This window comes from Homo sapiens, chromosome 6, assembly GCF_000001405.40.
Source record: "Homo sapiens chromosome 6, GRCh38.p14 Primary Assembly".
Lineage (NCBI taxonomy): Eukaryota > Metazoa > Chordata > Mammalia > Primates > Hominidae > Homo > Homo sapiens.
Genome location: NC_000006.12, coordinates 39,848,322 through 39,873,636, shown reverse-complemented (window position 1 = coordinate 39,873,636; position 25,315 = coordinate 39,848,322). Strand labels below are relative to the sequence as shown.

At 47.4% G+C, this 25,315-nt stretch overlaps 1 protein-coding gene across 19 annotated transcripts in view, besides 2 other annotated features; it reads right to left on the bottom strand.

The window, feature by feature from the left end:
- Positions 1-25,315, bottom strand: part of DAAM2 (dishevelled associated activator of morphogenesis 2) — a 112,494-nt gene that overhangs the window by 31,233 nt on the left and 55,946 nt on the right. For 16 of the 19 annotated variants that reach the window (XM_047418533.1, XM_047418534.1, XM_006715043.3 and 13 more), the window contains 9 exons: positions 17,167-17,390; positions 12,620-12,709; positions 9,130-9,204; positions 8,563-8,657; positions 5,794-6,127; positions 4,704-4,814; positions 3,194-3,297; positions 2,065-2,131; positions 282-399 (listed from right to left, as the gene is read on the bottom strand). In XM_047418533.1, the coding sequence (XP_047274489.1) occupies positions 282-399; positions 2,065-2,131; positions 3,194-3,297; positions 4,704-4,814; positions 5,794-6,127; positions 8,563-8,657; positions 9,130-9,204; positions 12,620-12,709; positions 17,167-17,390 (1,218 nt within the window). Of the gene's footprint in view, positions 1-281; positions 400-2,064; positions 2,132-3,193; positions 3,298-4,703; positions 4,815-5,793; positions 6,128-8,562; positions 8,658-9,129; positions 9,205-12,619; positions 12,710-17,166; positions 17,391-24,700; positions 24,866-25,315 lie in introns of all 19 variants that reach the window. The other 3 variants (XM_047418537.1, XM_047418535.1, XM_047418538.1) reach the window with 1 other exon arrangement.
- Positions 8,641-9,140: an enhancer, noted in NCBI's record as "H3K4me1 hESC enhancer chr6:39832273-39832772 (GRCh37/hg19 assembly coordinates)". NCBI's record gives its function as "activates a minimal SCP1, AML or CMV promoter by ChIP-STARR-seq in naive H9 embryonic stem cells {active_cell/tissue: H9 hESC(naive)}" and the evidence as "EXISTENCE:reporter gene assay evidence [ECO:0000049][PMID:30033119]".
- Positions 23,619-24,119: an enhancer, noted in NCBI's record as "H3K4me1 hESC enhancer chr6:39817294-39817794 (GRCh37/hg19 assembly coordinates)". NCBI's record gives its function as "activates a minimal SCP1, AML or CMV promoter by ChIP-STARR-seq in primed H9 embryonic stem cells {active_cell/tissue: H9 hESC(primed)}" and the evidence as "EXISTENCE:reporter gene assay evidence [ECO:0000049][PMID:30033119]".

Here is a 25,315-nt window from a genome sequence, read left to right as displayed (position 1 = left end):
TATTTAATTTTGCAATGATCAAGCTACCGTTTTTGGACTAGGATGTTGGAGTTGCTCAGGGCCAAGTCCCCAGCTCCTTCCCCAGATGACAGTGAAGACCTGACCCCAAGGAGGGAAGGAAAAGCAGGGGCCTCCGTCATGGGGCCTGCCCTCCCAAAAGCAAGTGCACAGGGAGACATGGTCAGACTCCCCAAACCAGGGAGGTCCCAAAGTCTTGTCTAAACCTGCCCCAAGTCAAGGTTCAGGCCAGTCGAGGGAAGCAGCAAGTGCAGGGTACTTACAGGGCATCTGCAGGCAGTGGTGCAGCACAGAGAGCAGGCAGGGGTAGGCCTCCGTGTACTTCAGCTTCTTGTGGATCAACTCAAACATCTGGGAAGCACTCTTGGTGTCGATGTGGACCTGGGAGAGAAGAGGGCACAGTGATCAGTGGGTAGGCAGCAGAGGAAGTCAGCAGGAGAGAGAAGACCCTGCTTCCATCCACTATGCCCTGTCTCATAGGAAAGGTTTTCTTCCCCTGCCTCTGGCCCAGGCTTAAAAAGAGAAAGACAAAAGGAACAGGGAGATAGTCAATTTTATAAACTAGAGTTTCTCAGTCTCAGCACTATTGGCATCTTGGGTCAGATAATTACTCATTGTGGGGGCTGCCCTGTGCTTTGTAGGTTGTGTATCAGCACCCCAGCCTCTCCTTAGCAGATGCCAGTGGCACCCCCTCACACAAGTCAAAATGTCCCCAGACATTGCAAATGTCCCCAGGGGGAGAGGAGAGCAAAATCATCCCTGCTTGAGAGCTACTGATCCAAACTAGGGAAGGGAGCAGGGGCATAGAGGATTCAAAGTAGCAGGTGGAATGTGGCGCAGGTCCACCACCTGGGTTCAAACCCCAGATCTACGCTTTAGTTGTGTGATGACAGGCAAGCTGCTTATCCCCTCTAACCTCTGTTTCTGTATCTATAAATCCAGGGCTTTTGTGAAAATATAATGGATGCACTCAGTGACTGTAAAGCACCACCCAAAAGTAGCTTTCTATTTGGATGGGGATTTTATAACACAATAAAGCAGAGTTGTGTGCTTTCAGGGTTGCCGAGGTTAAAATGAAAATACAATTTAGTTTGCTAAGCATGATCTGGTTAGGGATGGGGAGAGGGGACTCAGGAAGTTGCTGGAAGGCAGGGGAAAGTCAGCCCAGGAAAGGTATTTGAGACTAATCACATGCAATAACTTGCTCCCTTTCCTTTGGGGGTTTCAGTCTCCTCCTAGGCCGATGCCTTCCCGGGGGAGGCTTCCACAGCCTGCATACTACCAAGGCTCTGGAAGTGAGATGTGATGGTTCGTTTTAGGTGTCAACTTGACTGGATCAAGGGATACTCAGATAGCTGGTAAAGAATTCTTTCTGGGTATGTCTGTGAGGGTGTTTCCCAAAGAGACTGGCATTTGAATCAGAGGACTGGGTAAGGAAGATCCCACACCAGCTCCACCACAGCACAGGGCCTGGAGAAATGGCTGTGGGGCCACCTAGAACCCTACTACCATACTACGATCACTCCACCCTGTGGGCTCCTCACCATCCAATCAGCTTAGGGTCTGGAGAGAACAAAAAGGCCAAGGAAAGGTGAATTTTCTGTCTACCTCTTTTGGAGCCAGGACATCCTTCTTTTCCTGCCCTTGGACATCAGAACAGCAGGCTCTCCAGCTTTTGGATTCCAGAACTTGCTCCAGTGGCCCCTTATGTTCTCAGGCCCTTGGCCTTGGACTGAGCCATGCTACTGGCTTCCCTGTTTCTCCATGCAATAACTCCGACCTGTCATGGGACTTCTCAGTCTCCATAGTTGCGTGAGCCAATTCGCCTAATAAATGCCCTCTCATCTGTCTATCTCTATATATGTATCCTATTGGTTGTGTTTCTATGAAGAACTATGACTGATCACAGGACCTGGCCATGGGGGTGCCCACCAGGGAACCAGCCCACACCAGCCCTGCCACAACACGGGGTCTAGAAAAGTGGCTGTGGGGCCACCAAGAACCCTACTACCCCATTGCAATCGCTCCACCCTGCTGGCTCCTCACCATGTCAAACCTCCTGGCTAGCTCCAGGTCATCCTCATTCCGCACCATCTCGAAGAAGTCTAAATGTCTAGACAGAATGGGGAGACAGAGAGAGTAGACATTACAGCCAGGACACACCCTTGGTTGAGGGTTACAGCCCCTTCGAGCCCCCCACTGGCTAAATCTGAAAGCTTCATTCAAGCAAAATGAAGGCAAAATGGGAAAGAAGCCGCTGTTTGTAGGACACCCATTGTCTGCCCTTTATAAGATCCCATGACCTTCCTTCAGGGAGGCCAATCCAGGGTCCCTTCACCTTAGAATGGGCTTCTATACTTCGGCACTACTGACATTTTGGGCTCGCTTATCTTTGGTTGTGGGAGGCTGATCTGTGAGGATGTTTAGCAGCATCCCCAGCCTCCACCCACTAGATGCCAGCAGCACCCCCTAGTGTGACAACCAAGAATGTAATGTCTGCAGGCATCGCCCAATGTCTCTCAGTTGAGGACATCAGCCCTGGTCTATTTTCCCCAGTACTTTCATAGGGTCTCCAAGTCAACCCTCAAAACTAATCTCTCCCTCATTTTCTATCCTCATGCACACATCCACTTGTTCCACCTCAAAAGGATCCATCCTCTGTCCCTTAAAACCTAGTGTAATAAAATAGCCTAAACTAATGGGACAGAACCAGAGGGGCCTCACTGGTATCACATGGGAACATAATTGTGCCCTTGGATCAACAAGGGCGTTATAGCAAGCATTTTGGGTGGGACATTTCTTTGTTGAGCAGGAAGGTACTGCGGGACATTTAGCATTCCTGGCCCCCAACAACCAATACCAGTATTGCCCACCATCAACCAGTTTGAAAACCAAAGAGTACCCTCATATATTTCCACATGCCCCCCAGGGGGAAGTACTGCAATGGTTGAGGGCTACTGGGTTCACCTGTCTATAACATCAGAGATGAGACAAGCAGGTCAGCAAAGAGGACAGGCAAGGGCACCCCTTCCCCCCACAGAGCTGATTCTGAATCTGCGCTGGGAATGGCAGCTGGTCTCCAGAGGGAAGGGCAGCCTTCACAAAGGTCCCAACTATCCCCATCTGAGGCACTGTCCCCACAGGTTTGCAATGGAGACGGGTGCTTGGAACTTACTTGTCCAGGATGGCATTTTCATGTTGCCGGAGCTTGTCAATCACAGGCTGTATACCCAGCATCAGGAATTCATACCGTAGATGTAGGCGGAACTCCAGATTATCCTGGGGGTCACCAAGGGAGGGCCAGACTCATTGGCAGATCTCAGTTTCCACAACATCCCCAGTGGAGCCCTCATCACCACCCTAGCCACAGACCCAACACATCTCCCACAGCTAACTCACCTGGAGCTGCTTCCAATCCCAGAGTTCCAAGAAAGAATGGAGACCTTATTTCTTAGTTTAAAGCAAACCCACTGCCCAGCTTCTTTTAGGTCTCCTGCCCCACTTCCTTCAAGCCCCTTGCCAGTTCTAGCCTTCAGCACCAAAGAGCAGTGTTGTAGAGTGACATGGAGCACAAGCTTTGGAATCAGACAGATCTTGGATCTGGTTTTGTGACCTTGGGAAAACTTTTAGTTTCCCCATTTGTGAAATGATCATAGCATAACTAATCTACAGGGATGACACTTGTTATAATTACCTGATGAGGTGTGGTTACCAGCTAATCAGAGCACATGCCAGCCATGAAAAGGTGGTACCAACAAAGGTGATGTTAGCATCTTAGGGGCAGATTATTCCCCCAACCGGCCTTCCCTAACCCAGGGCATAAAGATAAATTGTTTTTAAAAAAAAAAAAAAAAAAAAAAAAAAAGTATGCTGGCGGAAAAGAGGGGAAAGTAAAGATCATTAAATTGCTCCCTTTGCCCCCTCTGTCCTTCAAGTTAACCTTGACCAGGGCATCTGATTGCCTTAGAATTTGGAACGTTCACCTGCTCTTCAAGTTCTTCTATTGTTGCTTTTTTTGTTGTTTCTTTGAGATGGAGTTTTGCTCTTGTCCCCTAGGCTAGAGTGCAATGATGGTGCAATCTTGGCTCACTGCAACCTCCGCCTCCCAGGTTCAAGTGATTCTCCTGCCTCAGCCTCCCAAGTAGCTGGGATTACAGGTGCCCACCACCACACTTGGCTAATTTTTATATTTTTTTAGTGGAGACGGGGCTTCACCCTGTTGACCAGACTGGTCTCAAACTCCTGACCTCAGGTAATCCACCCACCTAGGCCTCTCAAAGTGCTGGGATTACAGGCATGAGCCACCACGCCCAGCCTGTTGCTATTTTTATACTTCAAGAATCCCATTCTGACCCCAAAGGAAGGGAAACCAGAAGGCACACCTAACAGAAGGCACTAGAAGAACATGACCAGCCAACGAGAAAACAGTCCAGAAACAGCTCTCCATAAACAAGGGCCCAAACTCGCCCTCCTCCCACCAATGATTCTCTGCCACCCTGAGCCATCATCAGCCAGCTCAGCTCTGGGTCTGTCCACCGTGCATGATGCTACCTATGTAGGCAACTCCCCAGGAGCCCTCCCAGGTTTAATAGCAAAAACAATTATTGGGGAAGCAACACACTCACACACTCTACCCCAGGTCCAGAAAGTCAGGGAACAGCAAGGGCAAGGAGAAGGCACCCCACCTCTCCAGCTCCAGCATTGAGGACAGCATTGATGAAGGACATGATGGCTGTTTTCAGATTCACTTCATCCCGGTACCGGCCCAGACTTCGGTCTAGCTCGTTCAGCAGGGTCTAGGTGGAAATGCAGGACAGAGCAGGAGGAGAGGGCTGAGTTCCCAACAGGTGTGGCCTTTGCATCTTTACTCCTGTCGCCTCCACTACCTAGAATGCCCCATCTGCTCTCTCCACCCAATCAGGTCTGTCCAATTTACTCTGGGCTGCCCCAAACCTCACCTCTGCCTGGAAAATTCCCTTGCCTCTCACCTCAGTGGCAGTGCTGCCTCACTTCCTCTCCACTCAGCCTTTGGGGCTTGGTCTACATGGTTGAGCAGTGCTTCAGTGCTGCTTTATCATCGTGCTCCAGCTGTTTACAGCTCATATGTATTCCCTGCCTAGCTCATTTATGGTATGGACACTGCTTTTATCCCTTTTCCGTCTTCTGCAGAGTCAGGACCCAGTTTTTGGCAATAAACCATGGGGTTTGTAACATCAGTTCATGTCTCTATGGACTTACTCTGTGCCAGGCACTGTGCTAAGACACTTCATATTTACTGTTCATCTCACTGATACTTCTCTGGGCAGGTCAGGGAAAGAAAAGAGAATAGCATGGCTGAAGCTCCCAGGGATGGTCCCAGTGTCCCACATTAGGTACTGGCCCAAGTATAGCACCTAAAATCTCAATCTCAGCAATTGCACTCAATTCAGTAATTCTTGACTGAGCCCCTATCATGAGCCAGGTGTTGAGGTTGGAGATGCAGAGCCACAAAAATAATGCAGGCCAATATTCCGGCTTCCAGGAACCCACTGACTAATAAGGAAGACAAGTCCATTTCCCAGCCAAACTCATAACTCTTAAGGCCCTGCATGTGTTTTTATGCAAGCCTTCCAGGTCCCAGTACTCTTCACCTGTTACCTTCCAGGAGCAGGCATGCAGACCACATTACTTTCCTTTTCCCCCAGTTTCTGCTGCAAAGAATCTTCAGGCTCTCACTCACATGTGACATCCTCTGCCCCACCCAGCTGGCATCCCACCTCCAGCCTGGCCCCTCACCTGGAAGCGGGTTCGCTCTGCTGCATACACCTGGTAGTGCAGCATGGCCTGCAGCACCTTCTTGTGGCCACCAGGCACGAGGCACACAGCACCCAGGATCTCCAGCACAGCCACCTTGGTCTTGCTGTTCTCTGTGCGTAGGCTCTGGGCTATGGTACTAATGGCCTCAGGCTGTGCCAGCACATGTGCCCGCCCCTGGGAGTTGTTCATCAATGCTTTGATGCAGCCAATGAGTGAGGTGTGGATGCGGCTCTCACAGGTGGCGTGGTCCATGCTCCGGAGGAAATTTAGCAGACAGGTCAAGCCCTCCAGCTCAATGAAGCGGGTCACAAACCTACAAATCAGAGCCATTAACAAACATATATTTGCATATGATTCTGTGTACACTTTGCAAATAGTTACCCCCTTACCTGTGTACCACCATGCACCTTGTCCCACCTACAGTAGCCACTTGGTTTATTCGTAGTTTATCTAAAGCAGTGAAATCCTATCATCTTCACAAAAGACTTGTGTCTTATTTGCATTTTAAATACTCTGTATTTGCATATCATTGTCAGTTGCATAGCTAAAATGGTATGAATGTGAAGTCCTCTTCACATGATCATGATAATTATCAGAGCTGTTAAACCTGAACACTCCTCTCCAGTGAGGATGGAGATTAAGAGAATTACAGTCGGATAACAAAGAGGGCTTCCAGATAGGAAAGCCATCAGAATCATCAAGTCATGGCGTTAAGCCTAGGGAAGCTACATTTCAAGGGATCCTAAAGAAAATAGCAGAGTTATCTATCTTGAATGTTAGCAAAAAAACATTAAAACCCATTTAGTTCAGGGGTTCTTAATTTGGAGTCTGTGTTCTGCTGAAGAATCTATGGATAGCATTCACAGATCCAAGGACTTGGGTGGGAAAAGAAAATTACATTTTTATTTTTGGTAACTTCTAATTAAAATTTAGTATTTTCCTCAATGATGAATGTCAGCAATAAATGACAGTAGTATTAGCATAATCTGTGACTTTGTCACCCCAAGAAATCACAGCTATTTTCATACCAAATTACAGTTGTACCAGGTATCTCAAAATACCATTTACACTCCTCAGTACTTCAAAATTATGATGGTTATCAAGACTCGCAGCTAGCTCTTGCTATTTAAGGTGTAAAGAAGCAGAATTCATTGCTATCTCATTTTTATTATTTGTAGCTGTATTTTCATTGATTTGTTATGCCTATCTTTTTATCTATTATTTAAAACATCATTTCTGCGAAGCAGTCCATAAGTTTCACCTAGGCGCCGGATGTCCATGGCATGCCCACACACACAGGTACCCTTGATTTAGTAAAATAATTAATGATCTAAGAAAATTATTATAAATAACATTACTTATCCCAAGCGTATTTGTGTTTATGTTATTGTACAAATACGCCTAGAAAATAAAAGAATGTGCTCTCAAACTAAGTTGTTAACAATAGCTATTTTTTTACTTTTTTCTATTTTATGCTTGTCTGCATTCCATAAAATTTCCACAATGACAATATGTAACTTTTGTTAGCAGAATATTATTAAGGGAAATTACAATAAATTGGGGTAGGAGACAAACCTGGCAACTTCCTCTCAACCCCTTTATTTCCTGACTACCTCATCCTTTCCTCTATCCCCTTCCCATTCCAGAGCCCCACCACTACCAGAATGACAAGAGACAATTGGGATGCTCCCATTCTTCTTGAGGCTGTTTCTAGTCTCCTGGGGAGAGAGCTCAGCTCAGACAACATACACATCCCCATGCAATGGATGGCTAGCTTTTCGCCAGGGGAAGGGTGAAGGGTGGCTCCTGATTGTTTGCTCATTTCCATGGTGTAAATGCTCCCAGCATAGCCAATTTCAAGCTACAGATATGATGTCATTGAATGCAGAGTTGGGAAGAGATGCATATTTCATAGTGTTTCCATGCACATACAATGCATGTAAACTCAAAAGTATACCTTATAGTAAAATGTAGAAAAATAATTAGGTAATTTGGGAATGAAGAGTTTCAAGTATTTATTACCTTTGTTTTGATATAACTTACTGAATCTTAAATTTATACAATTGAAATTTTAATCATAGCTACGTTTAACAACCAGCTTACAAAATTGCTGAAAATTTGACACTCAGCATTCGCCAGCTGTTACTAGCCAGTTCCAGCACACCACGGGGCAGACCCAGACACAAGGAGCCCCACTTTGGGCCCCACACGTTGTGGCCTGGGAAGGGAAAGGTGTCCTCCTATGGCTCCAGGACTTCTACCCCATTTTCCATGCCTGCGTTGCTCCCATTCTAGATGGCAAATCCCATCCAGAGACACCACACCGCCCCCTAGTGGTTGGAGTACTTCTCTACCCGTGCGTCCCTCTTTTCCTGGATGGGGCACTCACCCTGCCCCCTCATCCTCACAAGGCTCTTTCTTTTGTACCTTGTCCATTTGGTCACGCTCCTATTCTATCCCCTTACCAAAAATAAATCAATAAATTTTTAAAAAGCACTTGCCCTCGATTCCTCTTTAGAGAGCTCCTCAGGACCTGAGGTTTATCCCACTTTCCCAGGTTTCTCTCCCCTCCTCCCAAGCCCTGGCAGCCTCCCAGGAGAGGAGTAGGGGCTGGGAAGTGAAGTCAGGTGAGGCAGAGTTGGCCAGGAGGACCGGCATGGGAGCAGAGCACTGCACAGGGCTTCGGGAAGGCAAGGAGACCAACTGTGAAGGGACTCAGCAGGAAGCAAGAGGGGGAAACTGAATTACCTCATAGGCTGTGTCCGGAGGGCTGTCTTCAGGTCTTCCACGACTTGGTTCCTCATCTCCGTCTCCTCCTCATCAAACGCGTACAGACTCTGCATCTGAGGGCCAGCAGGTAGAAAGGGGCTGCCTGTCTCCCAACCCTCTGCACTACAGCTCAGGTGTGACCCAGGGGCCATGCTTGCCTCAGAAAGGGTGAGGCCTCAGGGAATGGTTTACTGAGACCGAGTGTCGGCCCCTGGGAAGACCTAGGTTCTGGGCTGGGACTTCACTTTCCTCATCTGTGAAATGGAGAGAAGTACTGGCCCGGTTTATTTCCCAAGTTTGTGTGATGCCCAAATGGATTTTAAAATGTTTAAATGGTTGGGGGACTCTGAGATTGCCCAGAGGAGGGGTGGATTACCTTAAAATTTCATGAATAACTGGAAAGCTGCTGAACTCCAGTGAGTGGGCAGTGGGGCGCTGAGGAGCAGTAAAAGGCAGTTTGGTGTGTGGGGGGTGGGGGCTGGGGGAATCACTCCCTGCCGTAGCCTTTCCAGGTGGGGGCAGGGCAGGAGAGGGGCAGCCACTCACCGCAGCCATGGAATTGATGCGGTCGATGTAATAGTCAGGCCAGCTGGTTGCCAGCTTGTTGGGGTCCTCCTGCTCCTGAAACAAGAAAAAGGACAGCATGGACCAACAGGCAAGACAGGCCCGTGGCCTGAGATCCTGAGCTTCATTCCGTGTCAGCAGAGGGATTCATTTCTCAGCTCTGCCCATGTCGGGTGGGTTGGAGGAAATTACACTCTCCCCCAGGCTTCCATTTCTCCCTTGGTGAAATACAGATGATGAACATTGACTCTCATGGCCAGACAACGACGCGGGCAGAAACTATGCAGGTGTGTGTACTTTCAGTGAGCAACGTGCACCATTTTTTAAAAATTCTTTTCTCTTGTTCTGTTTGCTCAGCTTGTATTTAATGAAATATAATTTCCTGGCTGTTGAATCTAATTCAGATTCCTGTTTATTTTTATACATCTTTTTACTTTTTCTGATAATCTCATTCTCATATTTTACAAAAGTATTGGTCTGTGACAGTTTGGAAATTTAAAAACTTAAGTCTTTCAGGTATTTCTAGAACACTAATAGAAAACACTTGGCACATAGTAGGCACTCACTAAATAGTAACTTTAGAAAAATAGAGAAATTTCCAAGGCTTTGGGCTTTGAAAAGACTCAGGAGACCCCCTTAGGCCTGTGATTTAATTCCTGGCAAACTCCTGAATGAGGGGGATGTGCAGCGGGGAGGCAGAGCCCAGATCCGAGGACCTCTGGCCCAGTGCTCAGCCCTCAAGAGACAGGCTCGACTCTTCCCCAAGTATGGGCAAGAATGATGGGAGTTAAAGAAATATTAATGTTGACTGAAAATCCAGCCTTCTCCAGCCAAATGGATCTGCTTCTGGGCCTCACACCCATCCTGCTCATTCCTGTTCCTGTGCCCCAGGTCACTTTGGAGGCTCCTCCCCATCTGCTTTCTCCACTCTCCTGCTTCCAAATCGGCATGAAAACTTAACTTCCTCCAGACCCTCCCTGACAAAACACCTCTCTGCCAGCTGCCAGCGGGCCCTGCAGCTCTCAGCTCCATCCACTCAATGTTTTCTATTTTGTTTCACAAAATACAAATCTTAGACCAGTAGAAAAGCTGCTTTGTTTGGGTCTTTATGACTTCACATGGTTAAATGTTAAATTTAATCATGGTTATACATGTTAAATTCTCCATGACTGAAGGCCAAACATTCTGCCTTCTGCCTTGGGGAGGGGAATCAGCACCAAAAACAATTGTGTCGGCAAACACATCCTTTCCTAAACTTGCTGGCTCGTCATTTACCCATGCCATATGCACTGAATGGGGACCTACTAGATGCCAATCACTGTGCTGAGCTCTGAAAGTACGGAGTAAAGAGTCATGGTCTCTGCCTTCCATGTAACAGTCCAGTGCCAGAGAAAGGGTGGTAAATGTTCTATGGTAGAGCCACCCATAGCAGACCTTGGGGGGTGATCCATCCAACACAGAAGGCTTGTAGGGGGTTGGCGTGAGTGGTCTAAGAACACTGGGCTATTAAAGAGCATTACAGCTAAGACAGGTGGGGAGGGTGTTATAGACAGAGGAAGTGCCATGTGGGAAGGTGGAAGGTTGTGAAAGTGTGTGGGGAAATTACAATTTGGTTTGGAAGGCAGTGAGAGATGCCTTCTATTTTAATAAATCTTTTTTTTTTTTTTTTTTTTTTTTTTTTTTTGAGATGGAGTTTCGCTCTTGTTGCCCAGGCTGGAGTGCAATGGCATGATCTCGGCTAACCACAATCTCCACCTCCCAGGTTCAAGTGATTTTCCTGCCTCAGCCTCCCGAGTAGCTGGGATTACAGGCATGTGCCACCACACCTGGCTAGTTTTGTATTTTTTTAGTAGAGATGGGGTTTCTCCATGTTGGTCAGGCTGGTCTCGAACTCCCAACCTCAGATGATCTGCCCACCTCGGCCTCCCAAAGTGCTGGGATTACAGGCATGAGCCACCATGCCTGGCCATTTTTTTGTTTGTTTGTTTGTTTGTTTTAGCAGCTGTAGAAGAGACCAACTTAAGGGAACTCCATAGTAAATCAATTTGGAAAATGGAGAATCATGAGATATGATTAATTACGCCTGAAATTTCTTTCCTTCCTTCCTTCTTTCCATGATTTGAGCTTTTTAAAGACCTGCTTTTCTCACAATGAGATGCATAAACACAGAGTGTTATATTCTGCAGGTGCTTAATAAGCATGCATTGAGTATACTAGACAATGGCTCATAGCGTGTGCAGCCCATGCCTCTTGTCACAGGTCCTCAGCCTCTAGCACTATTTTCCCCAGCAGTCTCAGGTTCTAGCAATGGGCAGCCAGTTGCCATAACGGACTGGGTGGGCTGTGGGTGAGTTTTGCCTCTCTAGGCCTTCTTGGCCTCATTTGTAGAATAAAGAATGAGACTGCATCGACACTGTGTGGTTTTCCAGGTTCCTGCAACTCTGAAATGGTGTATATTTGAATCCTCCAATGTTACAAGGTCAGTCTGGCTCAGTGTGGAGACCTCGGAATGGGATAAAGTCTTCAGCAGGAAGAGTAAGAGAAGAGCTATGAGGGGGCACAGGAGCACAAAGGATACATGGCTCAGACTCCGCCCAGACCTTCCTGTCTCCTCCCAGGAGGGAGGGAGCCTAAGCCTCAGGCGTGGGAATAGCCAGGCTCTGGTCCCCAAACACCAAAGCAATGTAGGAGGGCAGAATAACAAGTTTTAGACTTGGGACTCAAGTCTGAAAACTGGGAGGGTGGAGGGGAGAGGAGGAAAGTAGGCCATGAAAAGAAAATTCAGGAGCAAAAGAAACAGACTAAAATAGAAAGGGGGCAAGAGAGAGACGTAGAGACAGAGGCAAGCTGAAGAAACACGGAGATGGAGACAGCAGAGAGAAGAATGCACAGCCGCTGGGAAAGCAGAAGGGAGGAGATCAAGTCCAATTAAGCCCCACTGGAGCTCAGCATACCCCTTTCTAGGGAGGGCCATAGCAGGAGGCTAACAGCATCTTTTAATGAGCAAGAAGAGAGGGAGGATATGCTGAGGAGAACATGGACAGATGTGTGAGCCCTAGCCTGGGACAGAGTGGAGACTAAAGATCCAAAAGAGGACATCCCTGCCCCCCAAACTGATTTCTTATAGCAAAGCTGCTCCAGGTATGGTCCATGATGCCCACCCTCCATGCCTGGGAGCAGGCACGAGAGAGTCCAGACTCTGCTTCTTTGTCTGTCTCCCAGCAAGCCCCAGTCCTGGGATGCAGCAGGTCCTGCTTTAAGCGTTTTTGAAAAAGAGAATCCTATTTCTTTGAGTGTAAGCTCCAGGACAGCAGAATTTCCTTTTTCTATTTTATTCACTGTTGTTCCTCCAACACCTAGAACAGGGCTGGCATGTAATAAACATCAGGTGAATGCATGAGCATGCCAAGGCAGCAAGAGCCACCCCATGCCATGAACCCTGAGATGTGGCCAGAGGGGTCAGAGAGGGCACCTTCTTCTTGCTGCAGTAGATCTGCCATTTCTTCTCAGGGGGCAGTGCAAACATAGCCTCTCGGTTTTTGTCAGTGAGATCCAATTCATCCTGCAAAGACAATAAGAAAAAATACGTCTGACACTAGGGATGGTTGAGATTAGAATAGTCAGCCCTGCAGGAAATTACAATTCCCCCAAATCAGTTCCTCAGGCTACTACTATCTTCCTCCCGAAGAGCATCAAAGATATGATAGGGCATTTCTTTTTCTATCAGAGATACAGCCCCATCCCCTTGCCTCAACCAACCCTATGTGACTTCTATTGCACTCCCTTTACTTCCTGTCCACCCCCAGCCTTGTCTCTGCAAATCCACCCTCCTGCTTCAGGTCACCCTGTTCCCTGCCCATCGCCTGCATTGCTTTGCTAGCTCCTGATCCTCTCGCCCTGGGGTCTCTTGTCTTCCATCCCTTGTCATTCTTAAGCTTGTGGACACCATAATACAAAGCCTAACAAAGAAGGGAATTGTCTGCAGATCTCGTTCTGCCTCTCTCAGATTCTTGCCCCATCCTTCACATCTACCTGCCCTTCGAATCTCTGCCCTAGACATTCTCTGGCTCCCCCACACTCAGCATAGGCCCTAGCACAGGCTGGAGAGAGCTGGTGAGGACAAGGGGCTGCTCAGAGTAGGATGGGCGAGCCATGCCCCGGGAGGCATTGATCTGCTTCCGAGGGAGGTAGTGCCTGCTGGAGGCAGCCCCTCCCACTGCAGGACCAGCAAGAGAAGGCACGGGGCTCCATCAGGCTAGTCCAAACTTTCCAAGGAGCTAACTGGAACTTTATGAGGTCATATTTGGGGTAACTCCATAGGTATTTTAGGGTGAATTTGAAGGTTTTGCTGTGCTAGACGGCCCCTGAAAAGCTCTATTTTTGAAGCTGCCTCTCCTGTCATTCATGAGCAATGCCAGGGCTAATCAAAGGACTAGTTAATGGGCCATGGAGACCATAGTGTGCTTTTTTTAAAATCAAAAGCAAAACTTGCATTAAGCATAAATTAAGCATAACAAAGCATAATATTATGACTCTTTATATTTTCAAATACAATAAACAGTGAAAACAATATCTAAGGAAGTATAATAGTCTTAAATTTTGATATCTGTAATCTTTTCCCTATACTTTTATTCAAGGGAGAATATTAAGACTTTATTCTCTCACCTAGATCAGAACTGCCTAATAGAAAGATAACATGGGCGACATATATTTTCAATTTTTTCTAGTCACATTAAAAAATTTAAAAGAAATAGGTGAAGTCAATTTTCATAGTATATTTTAAACCAGTAAATCTAAAATATAATCATTTAAACATAAAATCATGTAGAAAATTAATAATGAGATATTTTACATTCCTTTTTTCACACTAAGTCTTCAAAATCTGGTGTGCATTTTACAGTTACAGTTCATCTCAATTCAGATGAGCCAGTAGTCCCACGTGGCCAGGGACTGCCATTCAGACAGCACAGACAAGGATTATTTGAAATAATACCCATCAGTTCACCTGCCTCTGGAACTAAAGACTCTTGCAGATTTAATCCCAAACAAAATTTCTTCCCTAGAACTGCTCTCTATATATCCCAGGAAGTTCTTTCTCAAAATTCCCAGAACCCTGTTTGAGGTTTCTTTCCCACGATCAAAATCAGAAATAAAAGGAAAAGGAGAGTTATATGCACCTTACATTTCCCAATACAAACTCTGCACCTCTTCAACTTCTGTGCCTTTGTTTACACAGTGAGTCCTACCTGGACAGGCATCTGCACCCACTCACACTAAGGACCTGGTCTAATTCCTAGGGCACAGTGTCAGCCTCCTCCCGCAAGTCTTCAGTAGACCTTCCCAGGTAAGAAGAATCTCTCCCTTCCTGAACTACAGAGCAGTTCCATGTGAGCTTGTATTCAGATTATTGATGCACTTGTCTTTTCCAGCCAGTGGTCTCTATACCCCTAAATCAATGGTGGTTTTGCTCAGCCTAGGCAGCACATGACTGACTGCTGACTGCTCGGTCCTTATTAAACCTCACTTCCCTGGTTTCTTTAGCAACTACCCTCCTGAGCAGTCTCTCCTGCTTCACCCTATGTTCCTGCGTGGGCTTCCTTGATGACTTCTCCTCTTCTATCCTACCTTTAAATGTAGAAGTCCCTCAGGGCACCATCCTCCCTCACCTGTTCCCCAGGACTCAGTTATTATCTCAAACTCTCTCAAACTTGTACCCCTAGGCCAACAGTTTCCTGAGCTCCAGACCCTAGGGCCCCACTGTCTCCAGTACGTCTCTACTATGATGTACTTATGTAGAGTTACTATGTACCAGGCACTGTTCTAAGTATGTAATGTTTATTCATAAATAAATAACAACTTATAACAACTCATTTTACAGATAAGGAAACTGATGTACAGAAAGAATGTGTGGATTGAGTTCATCATCCCAGCCCCCTCAACTTGAATCTCCTCCAGTATATCCTATCCTGCCCAGGGCCCCAATATCCATCCAACACTTCATGTCAGAAACCAGGGTATTCTTTGATTCCTACTCACTCTTTGATCCTACCAAGTCCTATTATCTTTCCTCCTAAACAGCTCTTGAATCTGTCCACTTCTCTCCATCCTCACTGCTAATACTTTAGTCTAAGGCACCCTTCTCTCTAACCTGTAGGATTAGGAGGCAAAAGCCTCCAAATGGTCAACCCAGAACCCTTCTTTAGCAGAGCACCTTGCGTGGTCTTTTAGAAAAGCAGATCAGATCACCTCAAATCCCTACTTAAAATCTTCCATGGCTTTCCACTGCCCTTAGGGTTTAATCCAAAAACTTTAGTTCTTCTGGTCTTCATTGTGTACCCCAAAAGGACCCAGCTCCTTTCTGACTTGAGACTCACATATGCCGTTTCTTCTGCAGGAGACCCTCTGTCATTGTCCTGAACCTCATTCACTGATCTAATCATCTCGGTGGAAATGTCACTGCTCACAGAGGCCACTGTGACTTCTCCCAGTCTAGAATACAGCTCCCTGCTAGACACTCCCATGCCCCCACCCCCAGAATGCTCCCTGTCCTAGCACTCATCACACTTGTCACTGCTCCTCAAAATCAGTCTTCCCTACTAGGCTTTCACATTCTTGGAGGCAGGGGAGGTCTCTGGTGGCTCATCTCTACATCCCTAGGACCCTCATACAGCCCAGCACCCAGCAGTCTCTCCAAGAAATATTGTTCACTTGTTTGAGAGATACCTGATGCTATTCTTCTTGCAGGCAAGACTTGTCTGACTCACCCTTGTTTTTGCTAAAGTGCCATGCAAGGGTCCCTGTCCTGAAGATGCTCAGTAAATATCTGTTGAATAAAAGAGCCAAAGAAAGGAACACTGCCTATCATGTCCTTCTTTCAAAACTCACTCTACTCAAGAAAATATCCCTAACACTAATCAGGCTCCAGATATTATTCTACACTAGCAAACGCTTTGCCCCCACCACTTGCCCCATCCAGAGGAAAGCTAAAAAATCAGGAAACAGTGAGTTTTCCTAAACCTGATGTGACAAGGAAGCTGGACACCTTTCTCATATAACCTGCATAATCTCATCTTTCAGGGACCCTGTTATTTAAAGAGCTGGATTGGCTTAACCAGGTATATCTATTAGCAAATACAAGTATAAAACCACATTCCAACCACATGGCCTTGTTTCTTTACTGGCTTACTAATGGCCCACCACAGAATGAGTGACCAAGAGCTAATGGTAGATGAACATGTACTTATGGCTCTTTACCAGGCCTGGGACCTCCCTTGGTGTGCAGACTTTGTCTCACCACCAGACCTCCAAAGAGAGAAGGAATCATGCTTCTTTCCTAGCCTGTCTATTTGTGGCCAGGGTATAAAGCTGCACACACACGGGCTTCTCACAAGGGCAGTCTGAAAGCTGGTCTGGGCGGGCATTGCGGAATCAGCACAGGCTGGTCCGGGTGTGAATGGCAGAGCTTCCGCCTGCCCCTTGCTAAGCACAGCACATAATCATCCCAGGCCTGAACTGGGACCCCAGGCATGACATAGGCATTTCCACCTCCAGGTTCCTAGCCAATCATCCCCTGTTCCGAGGTGCCCAGTGTCTGCCCACAGAATCCCACTCTGTCCCTTCTTTGTGCCTCGGACATTAAAAGATCCCAGGGAAACTCCAAGGAGCAGAAGAGAGAAAGGCGTCAAATGTTCTGATGTTCTTTGAGATGTCTCACCATCTTATTTTGCAAAACCCAGAGCTGCCCCTTCCTATGATAACCTAATTACTGCACCATGTGGTCTACAATCCAATGCAGAGAGGAGGTAGGACCATTCTTCTGGGGACACACTTTATGCTGTCCATCCCAGTGAGAGACTCTGGTTCCCCAACATAGCTGAGGTGTCCTGGGGGCCTATCTCCTCCCAAGAGGAGTTTTGAGAGATGGAGACCCCAGCACAGGGGCCCTGCCCTCTGTCCAGCTCTGCCTCTCCATCCACCCTCCTCCCCATTGTCACTGTCTCTCCCCACCCTCTCACTGACCACCAGCTCTGCAAAGCGGATGTTGAGCTCCTCTGCGTTCGGGATGGGGCTGGAGAACTCCATGAACTGCAGAGGGTGGTTGTCCCGGAGGTTGATTTCGGGGATGTCACTGCCCCCGAAGCAGCACAGGAAGCCCAGGCCATGGTGGCTCCTCTTGCGGGGGGCCATGGTCACTGCAGGCCAGGGGGCGTCAGCAGACAGATGCCCTAGGTCCTCATTGTGATCTGGACAAGAGGAGAGAACACAGGGTGGTCAGGCATACAGTCAGATAGGCCAGGGCAGAGGTCACTCTGCCTTCATAACCTCTGTCCCACAGGTTGCTGGGAGCCCTCAACCCAATAGCAAAGCCCCACCCACCCCGCTGTCGCCCCTCCTCCCACAGCATCCCTCTGTTCCCTCCAGCTCTTCCCACCTGGAGGCATTTACATATCCTCCCCACCATGTCCTCTGAGTGTTATCTGCCAAGACACTTTCATATTCCCCTTCCTTGCCCTCAGAGAAGGACAAAGGCTGGGGTCACTGAATGTGACTTCCATGTGACCAGAGCTGACTTTCCATAAATGTGTGGACGGGCTCCTATTCCCTGTCTTCCGTAAGATCAGCTTCCAGCAAGGCTCACTTACTCACTTGATTCATTTCCGGGTCTGGGGATAACTGATTTAAAGGCATGGACCAATGGGGAGGAAAGAGTTGAAGAAGGCTGGCAGAGGAAACACTGAGCTAATGATGTGGCATAGCTCCTGCAGCCTGGGTCTCCAGAGCAGGAGGAAGACGGAAGACTACAGAGGCTTGTACAGTTTTGTGCTCAGTTTTCTGTACAGGCATGTTTGGATGAATGTGAAATAGCAACAGGCAGTGGTTCACTGATCCTTCTAGAAGGAGGCGGCCAGTTGTCCTCAGAGAGTTACCCAGGGGAGTCAGAGCGAAGCCTGGGTACAGAAATAGGACTGATCATTGGAATGGTATTTGACATTTGCTCAGATTTTCAGAAGAAATCTGCTCAGATTTTCTTTTCATACCAGGCAACTACAGAGAACACTGTTCTGTCTAGAGACCAGAACTGATGGACGTTTAACAGCTGAGTAGTCATTGGACAGAAAGGGTCAAGGCTTTGGCTCGCCACTAGGAAAGCCTAGGTCAATGATGACCAGCTTGAGAAAGAACGCTACCCCTGTCATTGGTGCCACATGGCCTCTAGATCAATTCAATCCAACAACCAGTACACATGCCTCCTGAGAGGCAGAATCATCCTCAACCACTCGTTCCTGACAACCTAGGGGGGTTCAGTAGAGAGACCATAGCTTATGCACCAAACTGCTACCCAGCCAAGATTCTCCCCATCCCATACTTATAGATCTTAATTTTTTGGCCATAAATATGGAATTCTGTTTTTATCCCTGTTGAGTATCATCGGTTTGCAGTCAAGATATTTTAGAATTCTGATTCTTAGCTATTTCTCCTGGACTCAGATTATTAACAGATTAGAATGCCTCTGTGGTCATCACGCACATCTTTGCTAAAAATGTTGACCACATCAAGGACACAGACCCTAATGACACAAAAATCTGATCTAGGAATGCCAGGGAAGTTTCATCAATACTCTCAGGGGACAGTCCTTCAACCAGCTCTAAATCTATGTAACTATGCTCTCATCTAGCCCTCTTTTCTATAAAGTCAACATGAGAGATTTCCCCTAAAGCCCTGTAGAACTCAAGATATGCTAAATCTATGACACTCCTTTGAACCAAGCTCTAGAATCTTATCAAAAGAGAGAACAATATAAATGTGGCATAATTTGTTCCTAGTGAACTCAGGGTAACTTCTAGAGAACACTGCTTTATTTCCTAAGTCCTAGCTAATAATTTAGTATAATCTCATCTGGCCTCTCATACATCATGCTCTATTTTAACTGTCATTCTAGAATTTTTTACCAGCTCCATTTTCTCTTTCTTTATAAACTTTGTGACAGAATTTTTAATAGGCCCAGAAAAGCCTCAAATAACACATTATGGAAGATTGCCGTTGTACTACTGGTTATCTTTTTGCTGCTGGCTCTCATAAATATCGTGAGGGCTCCTGGAGGGCAGGAGCTGTGTCTCCTGCTTCTTTGACAGCCATCCCCATTTCTATAGCCAATAAAAGCCTTGTGCTTCATGGGGGTTCAATAAATATTTCTTGACCATTTGGGAAATGACCTATTCTCATGGAAAAGGAGGAAAGAGGGGTCCTTATTAATCAGTCAAAAAATACTGATGGAAATCTTGACTACTAGCAATTAATAAGCAATCAAGAACCTTTGTAAGGAAAAAGAGAACCATCCTAGAGGCTGAGGGTAGGAGAAGCAGCCAGCAGGCTAGCACAGCAATCCAGGGACATGGCAGCAAAGACCTGGAGTAGGTTAGCATTAGAGTAAAACAGAGTGGAAGGGGGACTTTGGGGTTCCCCTGGGACTTGATAGCCAATGGCAGAGAGTGAGTAAGACAAAGCCCTGGTTTCTGACCATTAGGGTTAGTAAAGCACCAACTCTTCAGGCAGGTAGGGGTGGAATCCCTGGGGTCCCCTGCCCATTGTCAAGTGTGGGATGATCACATGGAATACAGACCAGATCCCCTTGGTTCCATCAGCCTCCAGAACGCAGCTGCAGCTGGCAAGCAAGACTGCTTTGTTCAGGGCACAAGGCATGGGAAGGGAGCTCCGAGAGGCAGCGGGGAGGCTGGGATGACAGCACCATGAGGGAGGGACAAGGAGAACCTGTGACCCCTCTTTCTGCCTTTACTTCCCCAGCCTCTTGTTCCCTAGTCTCCCTCTTACCTTTCTTGGCTCTACTAGAGGAATCAGACATGGCAGCAGGGGTGGCATATAGCTGGTGCACCTTGGCACAGTCTTACACCGGCTGTTTACAGCCATGATTGCTCTGACTGGCCAGGGCCTGTGCCATACCTGTTGTTAAATATTAGAGCATCTCCCCTGAGTACGGGGAGTGAGGCACAGTGGCCCTCAGGAGAGGAGAAGTAGACACAGACCCTGCGAACAGGAAGTACCATCCCCCAAGAGAAGGACCTCGTGCATACAGGGGGCTGCTGCATATGTGTCTTTTTGAGGGGCTGCATGTATGACAGCTCCCAAGTATGTTTATGCTCCTGAGGACAATGCCCTCCCAACCAAACCCTAAGTCTTTCCTTGCCTCCCTTTCTTAAGGCCCCATCTGAACATCCAAGACTAAAATCACAGGTTCTCTGCCAAAAGATGCCTTAGAAATCAGGTCACTTCATGGTAGAGATCCGAAAATGGAGGTCCAAAGAGGAACTGTCTTATCTGAGGTCACAGGCCTAGGAACAGAGCTGAGATTAAAACCCAGGATTCCAGCAGCCAGGCTGTGGTCCGGTCACTGCCCCAGCAGACCTTGTCTTCCCTGTCAATGGGCTTTTCTTACCTTGCCTTCAGCTCCCCCATAGCCATAGCCTCCCTCCGCTAGAGCAGATCAATCTCTATAGCTTAGTTTAGAAATCCCTCTAGAGAGCAGGAGAGGTTTATAGAGGCTCCAAATGCTGCCTCCTTCTCCTCATCAGTAGGAGCTGCTTCCATCATCTGAACCCTAATTCCTCACCCGCTCCTGCTCTGACACCTCTTTCACTCCAGCTTCCTAGTAGCAGGGTGGGGTAGGGAGCAGAGGCTTTGAAGTCAGGAGACTGGGATTCCCCCACCTTTGTGTTCTCAGCTAGTGCCCATGAGTACTCTTCACCTCTGAAGCCCCAGCTTCCTCATCCGTGACACCCTGATCACAGGGTCTTCCTCGCTGGGTTTCAGTGAGGAGTACAGGAAGTAATAGAAGTGAAATGCTTGGAGCACACTGGGCGACACTAGAGGAAGCGCCACCCTGCAGCGGGCCTCCATTCCCATCATCGCCAGCAAGGTAAGACTCGCCCTGCCCAGAGCCTGCAAGCCTCAGCGCTTCTCCAGGCAATGATGGGGTGACCGAGGCCTGGCATTCTGGGAATGTGCCTGGCCAGATTTATGAAGTCACCCAGCTCTGCCTTCCTCTAGGCCAGGGGAGCTGTGCTTTTCCCTGGGCTCTGAGCTATCTCTGGGTAGAAAGATAAGCAAATCTTCATCACTGGCCCTGGACAGGGAGAGGAGAAGGTGAAGTGGCCACAGGAATTCATTTCTGCAAAACCTCTTTAGAAGAGGAACAATGAGTTTTCCACCTCGGAGGAGAATTGAGAAGCAATTTGGAGAAAAGGGGATGCAAAGACACAAGGAAACCAAGTGGACTTGAACTCAGGCCAGAGAGATTTCAACTGCCCCCACCTCCACCCACTTTTCTCTCCATGAAAACTTCCCCAGCGCCAGCAGCTCCCTGCCCTCCACATCCTGTCTCCTTGCTCCCTCCCCTCTTCCTGTGGGGACAAGGTCTCCTCAAGACTGTTAGTCCCCAAGCACAGACCAACTGGCCTAAGACACCAAACCATAGGTCACAGCCAGTTAAGCAACGCTTCTCGTGGCTCCAGCCTGACTGCACCCATCACCATCACAGTCCCTCTACATTGTAGTGAAAGCACATTGCCTGTCCCAGTTCTGTCACTCACCAGCGGGAGTTCAGCAGGCCATGGTGTTAGTCTCTCTGGGCCTCAGTTTCCTTTCTGTGCAATGGCAGGGTTTGACTAAAGACCTCCAAGGACTTTCCCAGCTCTGACCTTTCATACTGCCTGCGCGATCCTATTCCCAAAGGCTTCCCAAGGGGCTGTCCTCTGCCTGTACTGAGCGCTTCCCCCACATTGCTCTCCGAGCCAGGAAGGACTTCCTACCACTTGAGCTGATTCCTTCCATTTGGTTGGTAAAGATGCAATCCTAGCCCTTACCCTCAAACCCTAACCCCTAGCCACTGCACACACCAGCTTTTACATTTCAGGACTTCAAAAGCCCCATATCATCAGTGTTTATCCCTCAGTCTTACATAGAAGCAGAATAATACTAACACTTGAGACTTTCCTACATGCCAGACACTGGCTATGTCGACATTTTATTCCCTCGACAACTCTCTGAGATAACTGGCTTCATTTTATAGAACTTATGGAGAAAAAACCAAAAATGCAACAACAAAAACAAAAGCCACAAAAACTGTGGTTCAGAGTGGTTAAGTAGCTTGCCTAAGGTCACATAGCTAGTTAGGGACATAGCTAGGATTCAAACCCAGGACTGTCTGACTCTAAAGCAGTAAGCCACTAAGCCATAAGGCACACGTCCAGAAAGTATCCTAAGCTGAGATCTGCTCAGAGTTTTCTCAAGTGTTACACAGATTCATATTAATAATTCATGATTCTGCATTTCCTGTGAGCTGGGCCAGGTGTTCTCACAGCTGGGCAATCTCATTTCAGCTTCACAATGACCTTATAAGGTGGTTATTATTATACCCTCTTACAGATAAAAATATTGAGGCTTCAGGAGCTGTTACATGGCTTGCTCTATGACACCCAGCTGCTAAGAGATAGAGCTAGGACTCACAAGTAAGTATTCTTACTCTAAGCCTAGTGGTCTTGTCACAGAACCAAAGCTGACTCATGAGCCCCTCCTCTAGCTCTTGCGGAAAATGCTATTGCTTTGGGACATTCAAATTGCCTCCTATCAAACTGCCTCCTTTCCTACCTTCAGACACAGGGGTAACAGGACAAGGACATGGTATTGACTATCTGTCCCTGGTCACTTCCAAGGTACCTACTGAGAACCAGGTATTATACTGATAATTTTCTGCATTATCTCATTTATTCCCCCAACCCTACAATGATACCACGATCCCTTCTTACTGATGATGACATTAAGAGTCTCAGAGGTCAGGCAAGTTGCCCAAAGACCAAGTTTTAGAAGTGAAAGGGCTACGTTTGAGGACAGTAGTGTCTCATTCAAACAAATGTGCTTTTGACCAGCTTCTAGCCATGTGTTGAACACTGACCTGTGATGAGGACCCAGGAGTAAACAAGGTGTGATCCCTTTCCTAAAAGTCTCCTTCTAGTGGGAAAGCAAGGAGAGTCCAGGCAGTGACAACAAGGAGAGTTAGAGAACGAGGTGTTTGGGCAGCCCTGAGAAGGAGGACCGGGTCCAGCCTGGGAGGTGGGGGGTAAAGGGGAAGTCAGGGCAGGCTTCCAGGAGGAGCAGACATTGAGCCAGCCTTGAAAGAGAGGAGAAAATCAAGGAAGGGTGCAAGGGGAGGGAAAAGGCAATCCAGGCAAGGAAAACGGCATAAGCAGAGGCACAGAAGGAAGAGCACAGCATGTGTGAGCCCAGAGTCCTGACCAGTGGCTTCATCCTTTGGTGGCTAAATCAACAGGCAAAGCAAATGGAAAGGGTATGCGAGTACCCTGGTTTGATGGCAGAGCTGCGGGCATCCTGGGGAGCCTATTCCTTTGCCCTCCTCTCCCCACCAGGTCCCCTGGGGCTGGGGCTGGGAATGGGGCTCAGAGCTTCCCAGAGCTGCTGCATGGAACATAAGGAATGTAAACAATTTCCTGCTCCACAGGCGGACATTGCTCCCTATATGCTGACCCTCCACGTGCCACGTGCTGCTGGGAGTCACCCAGGAAATGGCCCCAGGCTCAGCTTGGGGCCTGGCTCCCAAAGGAAGAATCTATGCTTTTCCATCTCGTGTCCCAAGAGACACTACCAGACTCTCTGCCCACACATCTCCCCACTGCCCACCTACACCACACCTGCTTCCACCCCAAGCCTCTGCAGACCATCTCCTCAAGCTGGTGGACAGCAAGCAGACCTGGGGATTCCTCTTAGCTCTAATCCATCCACTTCCTCCCTGAAGCTGTTGAATTACCATCACCCAACTCTACCCTACACACTCAGTTGAATTCTGTTCAGTTGCCATCAACTCTAACCAGGTGACTTCAAACAAGTTACTTGGCCTCTCTGAGCCTCAGTTTCTTCAGCCATAAAACAGGGGAAATATAATAGTACATAATTCATAGGGTTGTCAGGAGGATTAAAGTAGTTAATATTTGTAAAGCATTTGGAATAGAGCCTAGTAAAAGTAAAGACTATTAATAGCTACACAGATAAGCTGCTGTTCTACTTGCGAAGATACCTGAATGTTGACGGTATTACAGAGAGTTTTCTTTCTGTAATTTCATTAGTTTTACATATTACTATAGGGCTTGGCAGATATTACAGGGGCCATGTTCAGCCCACGGACTGTTTTCCCAAATACAGTTTTACTGGAACAGTCATGCACATTCATTTAAGTATTGTCTACGGCTACTACCATGCAACAGAGACCGTATGGCCCACAAAGCCAAAAACACTTACTATCTGGCCCATTATAGAAAGACTGCCAACTCCTGGATTACTGGATTGATTCCTACGCAACTGACAATATCCAATTATTTTTAGTCCACAGAAACACCGATTTCATATGATTCCACTTAATATATCGTACTGGCTCCTCACTTGTACTATCTGACCCATTGAGAGCGTTGCCCTCTAAATCTAGTGATTCCAACCATAATAAAGATGTAATTATTTATTGAGCACCTACCATGTTCGAGGTTTATCTCAAACTTTCATCTTCTCTTTTTACAGACGAAGAAACTTGAGGCTCAGAAGGACGCTAGGTATGAACCTAGGAACTCAAACCAGGTCTCCAGACACCACTGCTGCCCTGAACAATTTGACTGACTTGTACTGTGAGCCTCAGGCAGGGCTGGGGGAGAGACAAGGAGCACTTTCAAAAATAAGCACACGCTCTTTCCAGGATTGGGGGAGCTATTCTTAGCAGCCGCCTAAATTACGGTTTCCCCCTATGCTCTGGAAAAGGCAAAGAAAGCAAAAGTAAATTATCTCGGCCTCTGAGTCCCCTCTGTGCAGGCCTAGGGGTGGGAGACACAGGGGGCATCGCTGAGACCCGAGAAGAGGAAGGAGAGAAAGGAACGTCTTTCCAGAAAAGTGAAACTGAAAATCCCTCAGAGTGGCATTTCTCAAACTTGGGGGTGAGGGTGGGAGTTGAGGATTTTCCAACTGTTTTTCTCATTTTGAGAAATGATAAAGAGAATAAAGGTTTCTTTGACTCACTAGGGCACTAAACAAGCAGATGATAGTTCTCCAAGGTCATGGTCAAATATTCATTCATTCATTTATCCATTCATCCACCCAC